Source organism: Homo sapiens (assembly GCF_000001405.40).
Source record: "Homo sapiens chromosome 3 unlocalized genomic scaffold, GRCh38.p14 Primary Assembly HSCHR3UN_CTG2".
In the NCBI taxonomy this organism is placed as follows: Eukaryota; Metazoa; Chordata; class Mammalia; order Primates; family Hominidae; genus Homo; species Homo sapiens.
Genome location: NT_167215.1, coordinates 68,082 through 81,383, shown reverse-complemented (window position 1 = coordinate 81,383; position 13,302 = coordinate 68,082). Strand labels below are relative to the sequence as shown.

General features: G+C 41.7%; 1 long non-coding RNA gene across 14 annotated transcripts in view; it reads left to right on the top strand.

Moving 5' to 3' along the window:
• Nucleotides 1–1,345: 1,345 nt before the first annotated feature.
• Nucleotides 1,346–13,302, top strand: part of LOC101928669 (uncharacterized) — a 75,950-nt gene continuing 63,993 nt past the window's right edge. For 6 of the 14 annotated variants that reach the window (XR_001756113.2, XR_007068513.1, XR_007068511.1 and 3 more), the window contains exons 1-3: nt 1,362–1,556; nt 1,964–2,156; nt 3,573–3,631. This is a non-coding gene — a long non-coding RNA (uncharacterized LOC101928669). Of the gene's footprint in view, nt 2,157–3,572; nt 5,858–7,526; nt 7,587–13,302 lie in introns of those variants that run through there. The other 8 variants (XR_007068510.1, XR_007068512.1, XR_007068509.1 and 5 more) reach the window with 4 other exon arrangements.

The following is a 13,302-nucleotide window of genomic DNA, read 5'->3' as shown; positions in this document are numbered from 1 at the left end:
GAAATGGGCAGTAACTTCCATCTGTTTCCATGGCAAGGGGTGGGGACTTCTCGTGATGACATGGCATTGGCAAACTGTCATGGCACTGGTGGGAGCGTCTTCTGGTGATCTGAGGCGTGAGGTGCTTTCGCTGCCTCTCCCAGGTTCCTGCGTGCCTCTTACCTGAAAGCCCATCACACCCCCATCTGCCCACCTACAAACGTCACTGCCCTTTCACCCCATCCCCGTTTCACACGCACTCCCACATCAACCCTGAGCATTCAAGCCTGCGTTTCCCTGTTAGGAACCTCGGTGGTAGCCGGAGCTCTGAGAAACCCCTAGGCAGAACTCCTTGCCTAGTTTGTGGCAGACATCAGGGAAGGAAAGGCAAATTTCAGGTCTTTCTCACAATAAATAAATAAAGATAGGTAGATTTGATTGATGGATGGATGGATGAAACCTGGGAGTCTACGGGCAAATATTTATCAGACACTGGAAGTGTAAGTTGTCACAAAGATTATGGAGTGCACCTGTCTTATGACCCTGTTATTTTATCCTAGTATGTGCACTAGAGCATATTTTCTAACAGTGTAAATTGAAGGCTCACAAATTAGTTTAGTGAGAGAAAAGATAACGGATTGGAAGAGAATTACCATATTCATTAGTTGTGTTTTAAAATTTTTAAAGTAAAATAGAGACATTATTTTTTCATGCTTTCGAATGCATCTATAAAAAATAGACTTGAGGGCTGGGCGCAGTGGCTCACGCTTGTAATCCCAGCACCTTGGGAGGCCGAGGAGGGCGGATAACGAGGTCAGGAGTTGGAGACCAGCCTGACTAACATGGTGAAAACCCGTCTCTACTAAAAATACAAAAATTAGGCGAGTGTGGTGGCACGCGCCTGTAATCCCAGGTACTTAGGAGGCTGAGGCAGGAGAATCGCTTGAACCCGGGAAGCGGAGGTTGCAGTGAGCCGAGATCGCACCATTGCACTCCAGCCTGGGCGACAGAGTGAGACTCCTTCTCAAAAAAAAAAAAAAAAAAAAAAAAACTTATTCATAGCATAGACCAATTGGCCTCTATTGAAATTTCTCCATTATTTTCACAATGTCCCAGGCTGTGAAACCAGGATTTAATAAAGAACCAGAATGCCACATCTGTGTCACCTGGGTAGGGACCAGTCCTGATCCATTAAGTCCGGGTCTCTGGGTAACTGGACTCAACTGCTGGGCAAAACAGAATGTCCGGCTTGGGTTCCTAACGGGGTACCGCAAAGCCTCATGGGAATTGTAGTGTCACCTTCCAATGATGTTACCATCAAGGACCTTGGGAACCAGCTTTTCTCTCTGCGCTTGCGCCGCCCGGCCCACTCCGCCATTTTCCTCCGGAAGTGCGGCACCCAGAGGCGGTCCTGTAGCCGGGCCGGCTTGGGGCTTGGTTCTATGTCCCTGCGGGTCGGTGCAAGGGCGAAGAGGAACCCGTGGGCCTCAGGGGATCCCGGGGGGCCGGACCAGTGTTCCCTAGTTGTGGGAGCAGACGCGTGGGCACATTGCGGGCGGGCAGGGCCTGAAGTGCAGGTGCGGGCAGTGGACCCTGGCGGGGGCTGGGAGGACAGGCGTGGGGTCCCGGCAGTGAAACGGGTTCTAGAGGCGCAGGAGCAGGTAGGAGAGGCCGGTGGCCCTGGGCCCGGAGTCTGCAGGCCAAGCTCCTGTCCTGCCGCTGAGGGACCCGGTTACCAACCTGCATGACGCTCAGTTTGCCCATCTGTCCCAGTGGTAACACACAGTTCTCGGGAGACGTTCCCCATTCCCAGAGGAGTAGTGTGAAACGCGTGCGCCTCTAGTCTTAAACTTGGCGTTTGTATTAGTTGGGTTTCCTGGTGTCTCTTTAGCAAGTGAAGTTTCTGGTTCCCTCCTTCACTGTGTGACCTGCCTAGTCCTCCTGGGTCGCATTTACAGAAGTTTATACGAGACCTAGTTTCCAGGGAAGAACTCACTGATTCCGCGAGGGAGATGGCTTAATGGATGATGGTCGTCAGCCTTAAGGATACTTCAGTCTTAACTGTGTGTTACAAAGTTTGAAAGGGAGGGTTCCCTATGAATAAGAAGCACACTTGAAAGAACAGCCATCTGGTCTAACCTCTCACTGGTGCTTCAGAGGAGGAAAAAAGGTCACAGGTGAAGATCCCAGTTTTCCTTGCTCAGGAAATATTAATTCTACTCCCTAGAATGCACACGATTTGCAAAGACTAGGTGATAGTAGAAGGTTTGGACGAACTTTCAGAAGGTTGAGGTGAATTCAGCTAAGAAGAACAGGCAAGGACTTAGGAAATATTCCTTATTTGAAGGGGCCTGAAAGTGTGGTCTGGGGTACAGCAGTGACCTGTCATACTTGAGAGGATTAAAATACTCTCCAAACACAGTCCCATTCCTTCAACCTTAGCTCGTTTTTTCCAGCGTCTGAGATATATTAAACCTAGTCCATCCCCAAATTTAACATTAGATTGCGAAGTTCTATTGATTGTATTTGATTTGTAATTTAAGATTTTCTCCCCCTACGTAATTTTGTTAAAAACACAGAAGTGAATTCTGTTCACTTAGGTGTAACAGTTAATACTTGCTGTTTAAGGAACTAATTAAACCTTACTGGCTTATAAAAAACAACCACCATTTTATTTGTTTGAAGTTCTGTGGATCTGCACTTTGGTGTGGTGGGTTCAGCTGGGTAGTTAATATATTTGTGTTGCCTGGATCACAAAAAGGCCTCAGTCACCTGGTGCCTTGACTGAGCCTGGTTGGTTTAAGATAGTTTCCTTCACAATCTGGTGGTTTGTGGTGACTCTTGGCTAGGCCCTGTGTCTCCAACAGGGTAGCTCCAGACCTCTTCACAATTTCCCCCAAAAAGGAAAGAACCAATGGATATTTGCATCACATTTTCCATTTTCCATTCACTGGACAAGTCAGATGGAAAAGCCCAATTTATTGTCAGAGCATAATATGAGGGCTTGGATAGAAGGAAAGGTGTTATTGGGAAACATGAGTAGAATGGTGTACTGCAGGAAATACATATTATGTACATTTTAAAAAACGTAATTGTAGGCCAAAATTGCTGGTTTGCAAGATGCACTTTCCATGATGTTCAGGTATAGAAAAGCAAGATGTACTGTCATGGGAACACTCATATGAAGTTATTTGTGGAATCTACATATTAATAGGAAAATAGTTAATACAGCCCAGTATATTACTATAACATTTACTTTAGTGAACTTATAATGTTTCTTTGTATTAAATTATTAGATTATATCTTTAGATAATATTGTTACTAAATTAGTAGGTAATATATATTTTTATTCAAAAATAAATTGTGCATCTAATGTCTACCAATTAATGTACTTGTAGATGTATCTTATCTTAACTTGAGTCTTTGCTGCCCCTAATGAGGTGTGAAGGACTCTTCTCCCCTGGGGAAGTTTTTCTTTTTCAGGAGGGAGGAGGGCTTTCCCAGGTAATGTGTCTAGAGTGTTGGGCAGAAGAATCTGGGACCACACCACACCAGTTCTCTCCTTAATCCACGTCATTTGCCTTCTATCCCAGCTATGTTTCCAGTGTCCTCTGGGTGTTTCCAAGAGCAACAAGAAACGAATAAATCTCTGGTGAGTTGTTTATTTGTTCTTCACTTTGTTTTACACTGTATTTTCTGAGTTTATGGGTGTCTGTGAATTAAAAAGGAAAAGTAGAAATAAGTAAAACTCAGGTTGAAGGAAATATACATAAATAAGATAAAGCTGACCTGTAGATATAGGCAGGTTATAAGAGCTTAGAGTTGTCTAAGTTGAGTGCAAATTTTCCTCTGATCTTTCTGATGCCGAGACAAAAAAGGCAGTCATGTTTGTTATGTGATTGGAATGGAACCTGAGAAGAGAGCATGCTGTGTTCTTGTGGGACAGGAAAGCTTGCGTGCACCAAGTCTGAACCACCACCTTCATTGGTGACATAGATTATGTGCTGGAACATATTTCACACCGGCCTGGCAGTAAACACTTGTAGTGTTGTGCAGTGGAAACGGTCATCTTCCGCTAAAGCACGGCGTGTTGTGCAGCGGAAATGGTCATCTGCTGCTAAAGCACAGCTTCCATCGTAATGTATGCTCCTTGCTCAAAGAGTGTGGTCCCAAACAGCCTTTGGGAGGTCCTCCTTGATTCATGGATGAAACCTGGAACATCTTGAGGACTGAGTTAACCATAGGTCCTTAAATAACTCTCCACACGTTTTTCTTAGTTTATCTCTACATGCAGGGTGTGCAGCAGCCTGTTCAAAGTCATATTTTCTGGGAAATATTTCCAGTGTTTATTTGCACTTTAGCCCACTCTGTGTAGCCTTATTTCTTCTAAACTCACCATTAACCTGAATAATAGTCAAATTTAGGGGGACTGTATTTGCCTTACTCGAGTCTTCTACCATAGTTGAAACTGTCGTACCCGAGTGAGTTAGAGAGAAATGCCACGCATTGAGACGAATTCAGGAGTCCTTTACTAGCCAGCGACTGAGACATGGCTAACGCACGAAATTCTCTCGGCCCCGAAGAAGGGACTAGATTTTCTTTTATACTTTGGTTTAGAGAGGGGATGGGGGATTCTAGCTGCAGCAACTTTACAGAAGAAAAAAACAGACAAAAAACTTAGAAAGACAGATGGTTACAGGAAAACAAACTGTTCCTGGTGTAGGGTCTTTAAATTCACCACAAAGTGATAGGTGAGGGGGCTCTGGGCATTATCTGCCGGACAAATGTGGGGGCTTTATGATACTATCTCTGAGTAAATTGCTGGGAACTGGGGACATCTCTTGTCTCAGCACTTTATCAGTTAATTGCACGCTTTGATATGTTGAAAATCAGCTTGCACAAGTTAAAGTCCTTGAGGAAAGGGGGTGGGTAAGGAGTCCTTGATGTCTTGTTAATGAAGGAGCCAAATGGAGTTTGTCTGGTTTTCTCAGCTAAGGGAGAGTCTATTCATATTAAAAACAAGGTTAGCTGTCTAAGGAAGAGTCTATTCATGTTAATACAACGTTGGGTATTACAAAAAGTCTGTTCATGATCTGGAAATTCTTCTGTGTTAGTTCTGTTAAAAGAAAAACTTTAAAGGAGTTTAATTTAGCAATAAACGATTCATGAATCGGACAGTCCCCAGAATCACAGCAGATTCACAGAGACTCCAGTGCAGTCATGTGGTGGAAGAAGATTTATAGACAAAAGGGAAGTGGCATACCGAAATCGGAAGTGAGGTACAGAAACAACTCAGCGTTTGCCTTGTTTGAACACATTTTGAACATTTGGCAGTGCCTGAGTGGTTGAAGTTTGGCCATTGGGATTGGCCAAGATGTAGCTGTTGTTCCAGGTGCATACTCTTAAGTTAGTTTTTCATTCTTGTATACCTATTAAGGTAGGTTGCAGTTCACCCACAAGGACTCATATATAGAATTATGGAGTCCTTCTCAGGCCATACTTAGTTCACTTTAACAATGCCTTCCCTTTGGTTATTTTCTCAATTTTGAGAGATTGGCCGAAACTTCAGTCACTGGTGTCACTATTACCATTGCAAATGTACTTACTTGGTTTAGAAACCCACTGGGAAATAGACCAGTGAGATTTGAAAAGGTGGAACAAGGACTTGAGTAGAAGGTATCTTCTTATGCTGGAACATCCTGTTTACAGGAGAAAAACAAAACCTGGTTTGTTCTAGGATTTATGTGTTTCCCTAAAGTCTTAGTTTGATTATGTTACATTTAGCATGAGTGACTCCATTTTGGTTTGGTTTGGTTTGGTCTGTTGGGACCTATTGCATGAGCTTAGTTCAAAACAATGGCCTCCCATAATTTTGCTTTAAAAATTCCTCCTTTTTGCTGGGTGTGGTGGCTCACACCTGTAATCCCAGCACTTTGGGAGCCTGAGGTGGGCAGATCACGAGGTCAGGAGATTGAGACCATCCTTGCTAATATGGTGAAACCCCATCTCTACTAAAAATACAAAAAATTAGCCAAGTGTGGTGGCGGGTGCCTGTATTCCCAGCTACTCAGGAGGCTGAGGCAGGAGAATGGCCTGAACCCGGGAGGCAGAGCTTGCAGTGAGCCGAGATCATGCCACTGCACTCCACTCTGGGGGACAGACCAAAACTCTGTCTTAGAAAAAAAAAATCCTCCTTTTCAGTCAAGTTCTCACTTAGTTGAGAGTGTGACCAAAATGTAGGGCCTTAGCATCACTCTTAGTTACCATTGTTTTGGGTTCCAGTTTTAGCATGTCATTCCCATTGTTTTGGGTTTCTGGTTTAGCACATCACTCCCATTGTTTTGGGTTCCGGTTTTAGCACGTCATTCCCATTGTTTTGGGTTTCTGGTTTAGCACGTCACTCTCATTGTTTTGGGTTCCTGTTTTAGCACGTCACTCCCATTGTTTTGGGTTCTGGTTTAGCACGTCACTCACATTGTTTTGGGTTCTGGTTTTAGCACCTCACTCCCATTGTTTTGGGTTTCTGGTTTAGCACGTCACTCCCATTGTTTTGGGTGTCTGGTTTTATCACGTCACTCCCATCGTTTTGGGTTTCTGGTGTAGCAGGACCCTCCCATTGTTTTGGGTTTCTGGTTTTAGCACTTCACTCCCATTGTTTTGGGTTTCTGGTTTAGCAGGACCCTCCCATTGTTTTGGGTTTCTGGTTTTAGCATGTCACTCCCATTGTTTTGGGTTCCGGTTTTAGCACGTCACTCCCATTGTTTTGGGTTCCGGTTTAGCACGTCATTCCCATTGTTTTGGGTTCAGGTTTTAGCACATCACTCCCATTGTTTTGGGTATCTGGTTTTAGCATGTCACTCCCATTGTTTTGTGTATCTGGTTTTAGCACCTCACTCCCATTGTTTTGGGTTTCCAGGTTTTAGCACGTCACTCCCATTGTTTTGGGTTTCTGGTTTATCATGTCACTCTCATTGTTTTGGGTTTCTGGTTTAGCAGGACGCTCCCATTGTTTTGGGTTTCTGGTTTTACACGTCACTCCCATTGTTTTGGGTTTCTGGTTTAGCAGGACACTCCCATTGTTTTGGGTTTCTGCTTTAGCAGGTCACTACCATTGTTTTGGGTTCTGGTTTAAGCACATCACTCCCATTGTTTTGGGTTCCGGTTTTAGCACATCACTCCCATTGTTTTGGATTTCTGGTTTAGCAGGTCACTCCCATTGTTTTCGGTTCTGGTTTAAGCACATCACTCCCGTTGTTTTGGGTTCTGGTTTTAGCACCTCACTCCCACTGTTTGGGTTTCTGGTTTTGCAGGTCATTCCCATTGTTTTGGGTTCCAGTTTAAGCACATCACTCCCATTGTTTTCGTTTCCGGTTTTAGCACGTCACTCCCATTGTTTTGGGTTCCAGTTTTAGCAAGTCACTCCCATTGTTTTGGGTTTCTGGTTTAGCATGTCACTCCCATTGTTTTGGGTTTCCAGTTTAGCATGTCACTCATAGGTTATGGTGGCCTTATGGTTGCACATTTTTTTTAATCTCTTGTCATTCCAGTTGAAGAGATACCATTTGACATTTTAGAGATGGCTGCATGCAAACTCTTGAAACATTTGAGTAAGTACAGTACACCAGGGAGACTCTTATGACTATTGGGATAACACCAAGATGTGGTATATGCTCCTTACTCAGGGTCCCCATAAATCAAACCACCAAAAATCAAATAGATTAAAGAATGAATTAGATAAAGGGTTTACTTGCTTAACTAAGTGGTTTTTTTTGTTAATTCCCTACAACCAAATCTTTATAATACCCCATGTTTTCTCCACATGCTGTAAGTGTTAGCAGCTGCACAGATACTTAAGATAAGAGTCTCATGATAGTAGAGAAGTCTTGATCTGTGATCTTGGGAAAAGCTGTTCACATTAAGGATGCCATCTTCTTCTGGGGGGAACTGTCCGTGTTAGCTTTACCTTAAGGGTTCCAATAGGCATATGGTTCTGAGTGTGGAGGGACCCTTCTGAGTTGTGAGACTATGAACCCAAAGTTTAAGGTTTTAAAGTTTTGTTGTCATGTGGATGGCGAGGGCAGTCCTTCTCTGATGTTCTCAGAAGATCCAGTCATCAGATTCTAGATTTTGAAGGGTTTGACTGTCCTCAGTGAACCATAAAAGGCTTTCTTTACCTGGTGAAAATACACTTCAGGGTAATAATCTACTGTTTTAACATCAACTCTCTCGCATGGAAGAGCTTTTATACAATCAGAAAACATGCACTGAAAATGACAACTGAATGAAATCCCTTTATAAAATGTTTAAATGGCTCATCAGATAACCAAATGTACCTGAAGTTTTGATTGTTTTCCTAGGAATATAGGTTTCACAAACCAAACATTGGTTATAAACTATTTTAGCAGTTTAGAAATCACCACACCAATATATTTAATTTGGATCGTTTTCTCTTTCTGTGATGAGTTATGGAATGCAGAACTTTTAATAACAAAAGTTTTTAGGACTTAAGAAGGATAAGGTGGCCATCCTGGTTCTTCATAGGTCTGTGCTTAATTAACATCAGACTTACATCCTCTTGAATACCAGCTGTTTCTCCAAATTAGGTGCATGGCACTGGTAACTGATGAGTAGTTATAGGTAATTTGATTTAGACCATGGAGTTTATTTAAATTATATATCTAAACAATTTCAATATTGGTGATTTAGCATGAAAATGTGGCAAAATATTTCCTTGGTATACAATTTTTGTTTTACTTGGGTTAGCAGTTTTACAAACCAGTTGGTCTTTTTATTAAATTTTTGATATTTTTTTTTTGAGACAGAGTCTCACTCTGTTACCTAGGTTGGAGTGCAGTGGCACAATCTTGGCTCACTGCAACCTCTGCCTCCTGGGCTCAAGCAATTCTCTTGCCACAGCCTCCCGAGTAGCTGGGATTACAGGCACATACCACCACACCCAGCTAATTTTTGTATTTTTAGTAGAGGTGGGGTTTCACCTTTGGCCAGGCTGGTCTCAAACTCCTGACCTCAAGTGATCCACCGGCCTTGGCCTCCTAAAGTGCTGGGATTGCCGACATGAGCCGCTGCACCCAGCCTAACTGTTGAGAATTCTTAGCCAGTCCAATTCTTGGGGTATCGGGGAACTTATGGGGAATTTTTACCCATGATATTAAAGTTATTAGAAATCTGTGTTCACGAGTGTTTTTCAGGGTCATTTTCATTCTTTCATGAATCTTCTAAGAGACACCATACTCTAGAATTTTGCATGCTTGTGAAGTTTTTAGAAACTGCATCACCATTAAGCAATTAACTGTGAAATGACTTTAGTTATAGTTAAAGACAATTGACAAGGAAATTTGGTTATTTCTGTGGTCTACAATAACTTAATAACCATAATTAGGGTGGATGTGGTGGCTCATGCCTGTAATCCCAGCACTTTGGGAGGCCGAGGTGGAAGGATCATGAGGTCAGGAGATCGTGACCATCCTGGCTAACACGGTGAAATCCATCTTTACTAAAAATACAAAAATTAGCCTGGCATGGTGGTGGGTGCCTGTAGTCCCAGCTACTCGGGAGGCTGAGGCAGGAGAATGGCATGAACCCGGGAGGTGGAAGTTGCAGTGAGCCGAGATTGCGCCACTGTACTCCAGCCTGGGTGACAGAGCAAGACTCCATCTCAGAAAAAAAAAAAATACAAGAATTTTAGAAATCCTACACAATTTTAGAATGGATTGATGACACACACTAAATATAACCTGAGGAAGGTTCCACATTATTTTTTATTTTGACAGTGCTACCCATGTGACTTAACATGTTAAATAGTCCTGTTTACCTCTCCTTTGGGTGCTTCAGGGGTCTCTGTAGTATCCCAAAATTAGAGGTCAGAAAAGACAATTTTGAAGTTGAAATTTGATTTTGGGAAGCCTATTAAATATATTAAAGGTTTAAACACTTGATGTTATGAAATAGAATTCCACATCACCGTAAGTCATTCATTTACCAAAAATCATGACAAAAAATTTTTATTATTTTTTTATTTTTATTTTTTATTATACTTTTAGTTTTAGGGTACATGTGCACATTGTGCAGGTTAGTTACATATGTATACATCTGCCATGCTGGTGTGCTGCACCCACTAACTCGTCATCTAGCATTAGGTATATCTCCCAATGCTATCCCTCCCCCCTCCCCCCACACCACAACAGTCCCCAGAGTGTGTTATTCCCCTTCCTGTGTCCATGTGATCTCATTGTTCAATTCCCACCTATGAGTGAGAATATGCAGTGTTTGGCTTTACGTTCTTGCAATAGTTTACTGAGAATGATGATTTCCAATTTCATCCATGTCCCTACAAAGGACATGAACTCATCATTTTTTATGGCTGCATAGTATTCCATGGTATATATGTGCCACATTTTCTTAATCCAGTCTATCATTGTTGAACATTTGGGTTGGTTCCAAGTCTTTGCTATTGTGAATAATGCCGCAATAAACCTACGTGTGCATGTGTCTTTATAGCAGCATGATTTATAGTCCATTGGGTATATACCCAGTAATGGGATGGCTGGGTCAAATGGCATTTCCAGTTCTAGATCCCTGAGGAATCGCCACACTGACTTCCACAATGATTGAACTAGTTTACAGTCCCACCAACAGTGTAAAAGTGTTCCTATTTCTCCACGTCCTCTCCAGCACCTGTTGTTTTCTGACTTTTTAATGATTGCCATTCTAACTGGTGTGAGATGGTATCTCATTGTGGTTTTCATTTGCATTTCTCTGATGGCCAGTGATGATGAGCATTTTTTCATGTGTTTTTTGGCTGCATAAATGTCTTCTTTTGAGAACTGTCTGTTCATGTCCTTCGCCCACTTTTTGATGGGATTGTTCGTTTTTTTCTTGTAAATTTGTTTGAGTTCATTGTAGATTCTGGATATTAGCCCTTTGTCAGATGAGTAGGTTGCGAAAATTTTCTGCCGTTTTGTAGGTTGCCTGTTCACTCTGATGGTGGTTTCTTTTGCTGTGCAGAAGTTCTTTAGTTTAATAAGATCCCATTTGTCAATTTTGGCATTTGTTGCCATTGCTTTTGGTGTTTTAGACATGAAGTCCTTGCCCATGCCTATGTCCTGAATGGTAATGCCTAGGTTTTCTTCTAGGGTTTTTATGGTTTTAGGTCTAACGTTTAAGTCTTTAATCCATCTTGAATTGATTTTTGTATAAGGTGTAAGGAAGGGATCCAGTTTCAGCTTTTTACATATGGCTAGCCAGTTTTCCCAGCACCATTTATTAAATAGGGAATCCTTTCCCCATTTCTTGTTTTTCTCAGGTTTGTCAAAGATCAGATAGTTGTAGATATGTGGCATTATTTCTGAGGGCTCTGTTCTGTTCCATTGATCTATATCTCTGTTTTGGTACCAGTACCATGCTGTTTTGGTTACTGTAGCCTTGTAGTATACTTTGAAATCAGGTAGTGTGATGCCTCCAGCTTTGTTCTTTTGGCTTAGGATTGACTTGGCGATGTGGGCTCTTTTTTGGTTCCATATGAACTTTAAAGTAGTTTTTTCCAATTCTGTGAAGAAAGTCATTGGTAGCTTGATGGGGATGGCATTGAATCTGTAAATTACCTTGGGCAGTATGGCCATTTTCAAGATATTGATTCTTCCTACCCATGAGCATGGAATGTTCTTCCATTTGTTTTTATCCTTTTTTATTTCCTTGAGCAGTGGTTTGTAGTTCTCCTTGAAGAGGTCCTTCACATCCCTTGTAAGTTGGATTCCTAGGTATTTTATTCTCTTTGAAGCAATTGTGAATGGGAGTTCACTCATGATTTGGCTCTCTGTTTGTCTGTTGTTGGTGTATAAGAATGCTTGTGATTTTTGTACATTGATTTTGTATCCTGAGACTTTGCTGAAGTTGCTTATCAGCTTAAGGAGATTTTGGGCTGAGACGATGAGGTTTTCTAGATATACAATCATGTCGTCTGCAAACAGGGACAATTTGACTTCCTCTTTTCCTAATTGAATACCCTTTATTTCCTTCTCCTGCCTAATTGCCCTGGCCAGAACTTCCAACACTATGTTGAATAGGAGTGGTGAGAGAGGCCATCCCTGTCTTGTGCCAGTTTTCAAAGGGAATGCTTCCAGTTTTTGTCCATTCAGAATGATATTGGCTGTGGGTTTGTCATAGATAGCTCTTATTATTTTGAAATGCGTCCTATCAATACCTAATTTATTGAGAGTTTTTAGCATGAAGCATTGTTGAATTTTGTCAAAGGCCTTTTCTGAATCTATTGAGATAATCATGTGGTTTTTGTCTTTGGCTCTGTTTATATGCTGGATTACATTTATTGATTTGTGTATATTGAACCAGCCTTACATCCCAGGGATGAAGCCCACTTGATCAAGTTGCATAAGCTTTTTGATGTGTTAATGGATTAGGTTTGCCAGTATTTTATTGAGGATTTTTGCATCAATGTTCATCAAGGATATTGGTCTAAAATTCTCTTTTTTGGTTGTGTCTCTGCCTGGCTTTGGTGTCAGAATGATGCTGGCCTCATTAAATGAGTTAGGGAGGATTCCCTCTTTTTCTGTTGATTGGAATAGTTTCAGAAGGAATGGTACCAGTTCCTCCTTGTGCCTCTGGTAGAATTCGGCTGTGAATCCATCTGGTCCTGGACTCTTTTTGGTTGGTAAGCTATTGATTATTGCCACAATTTTGGCTCCTGTTATTGGTCTATTCAGAGATTCAACTTCCTGGTTTAGTCTTCGGAGAGTGTATGTGTCGAGGAATTTATCCATTTCTTCTAGATTTTCTAGTTTATTTGCGTAGAGGTGTTTGTATTATTCTCTGATGGTAGTTAGTATTTTGCTGGGATTGGTGGTGATATCCCCTTTATCATTTTTTATTGCGTCTATTTGATTCTTCTCTCTTTTTTTCTTTATTAGTCTTGCTAGAGGTCTATCAATTTTGCTGATCCTTTCAAAAAACCAGCTCCTGGATTCATTAATTTTTTGAAGGGATTTTTTGTCTCTATTTCCTTCAGTTCTGCTCTGATTTTAGTTATTTCTTGCCTTCTGCTAGCTTTTGAATGTGTTTGCTCTTGCTTTTCTAGTTCTTTCAATTGTGATGTTAGGGTGTCAATTTTGGATCTTTCCTGTTTTCCCTTGTGGGCATTTAGTGCTATAAATTTCCCTCTACACAGTGCTTTGAATGCGTCCCAGAGATTCTGGTATGTTGTGTCTTTGTTCTCATTGGTTTCAAAGAATATCTTTATTTCTGCCTTCATTTCCTTATGTACCCAGTAGTCATTCAGGAGCAGGTTGTTCA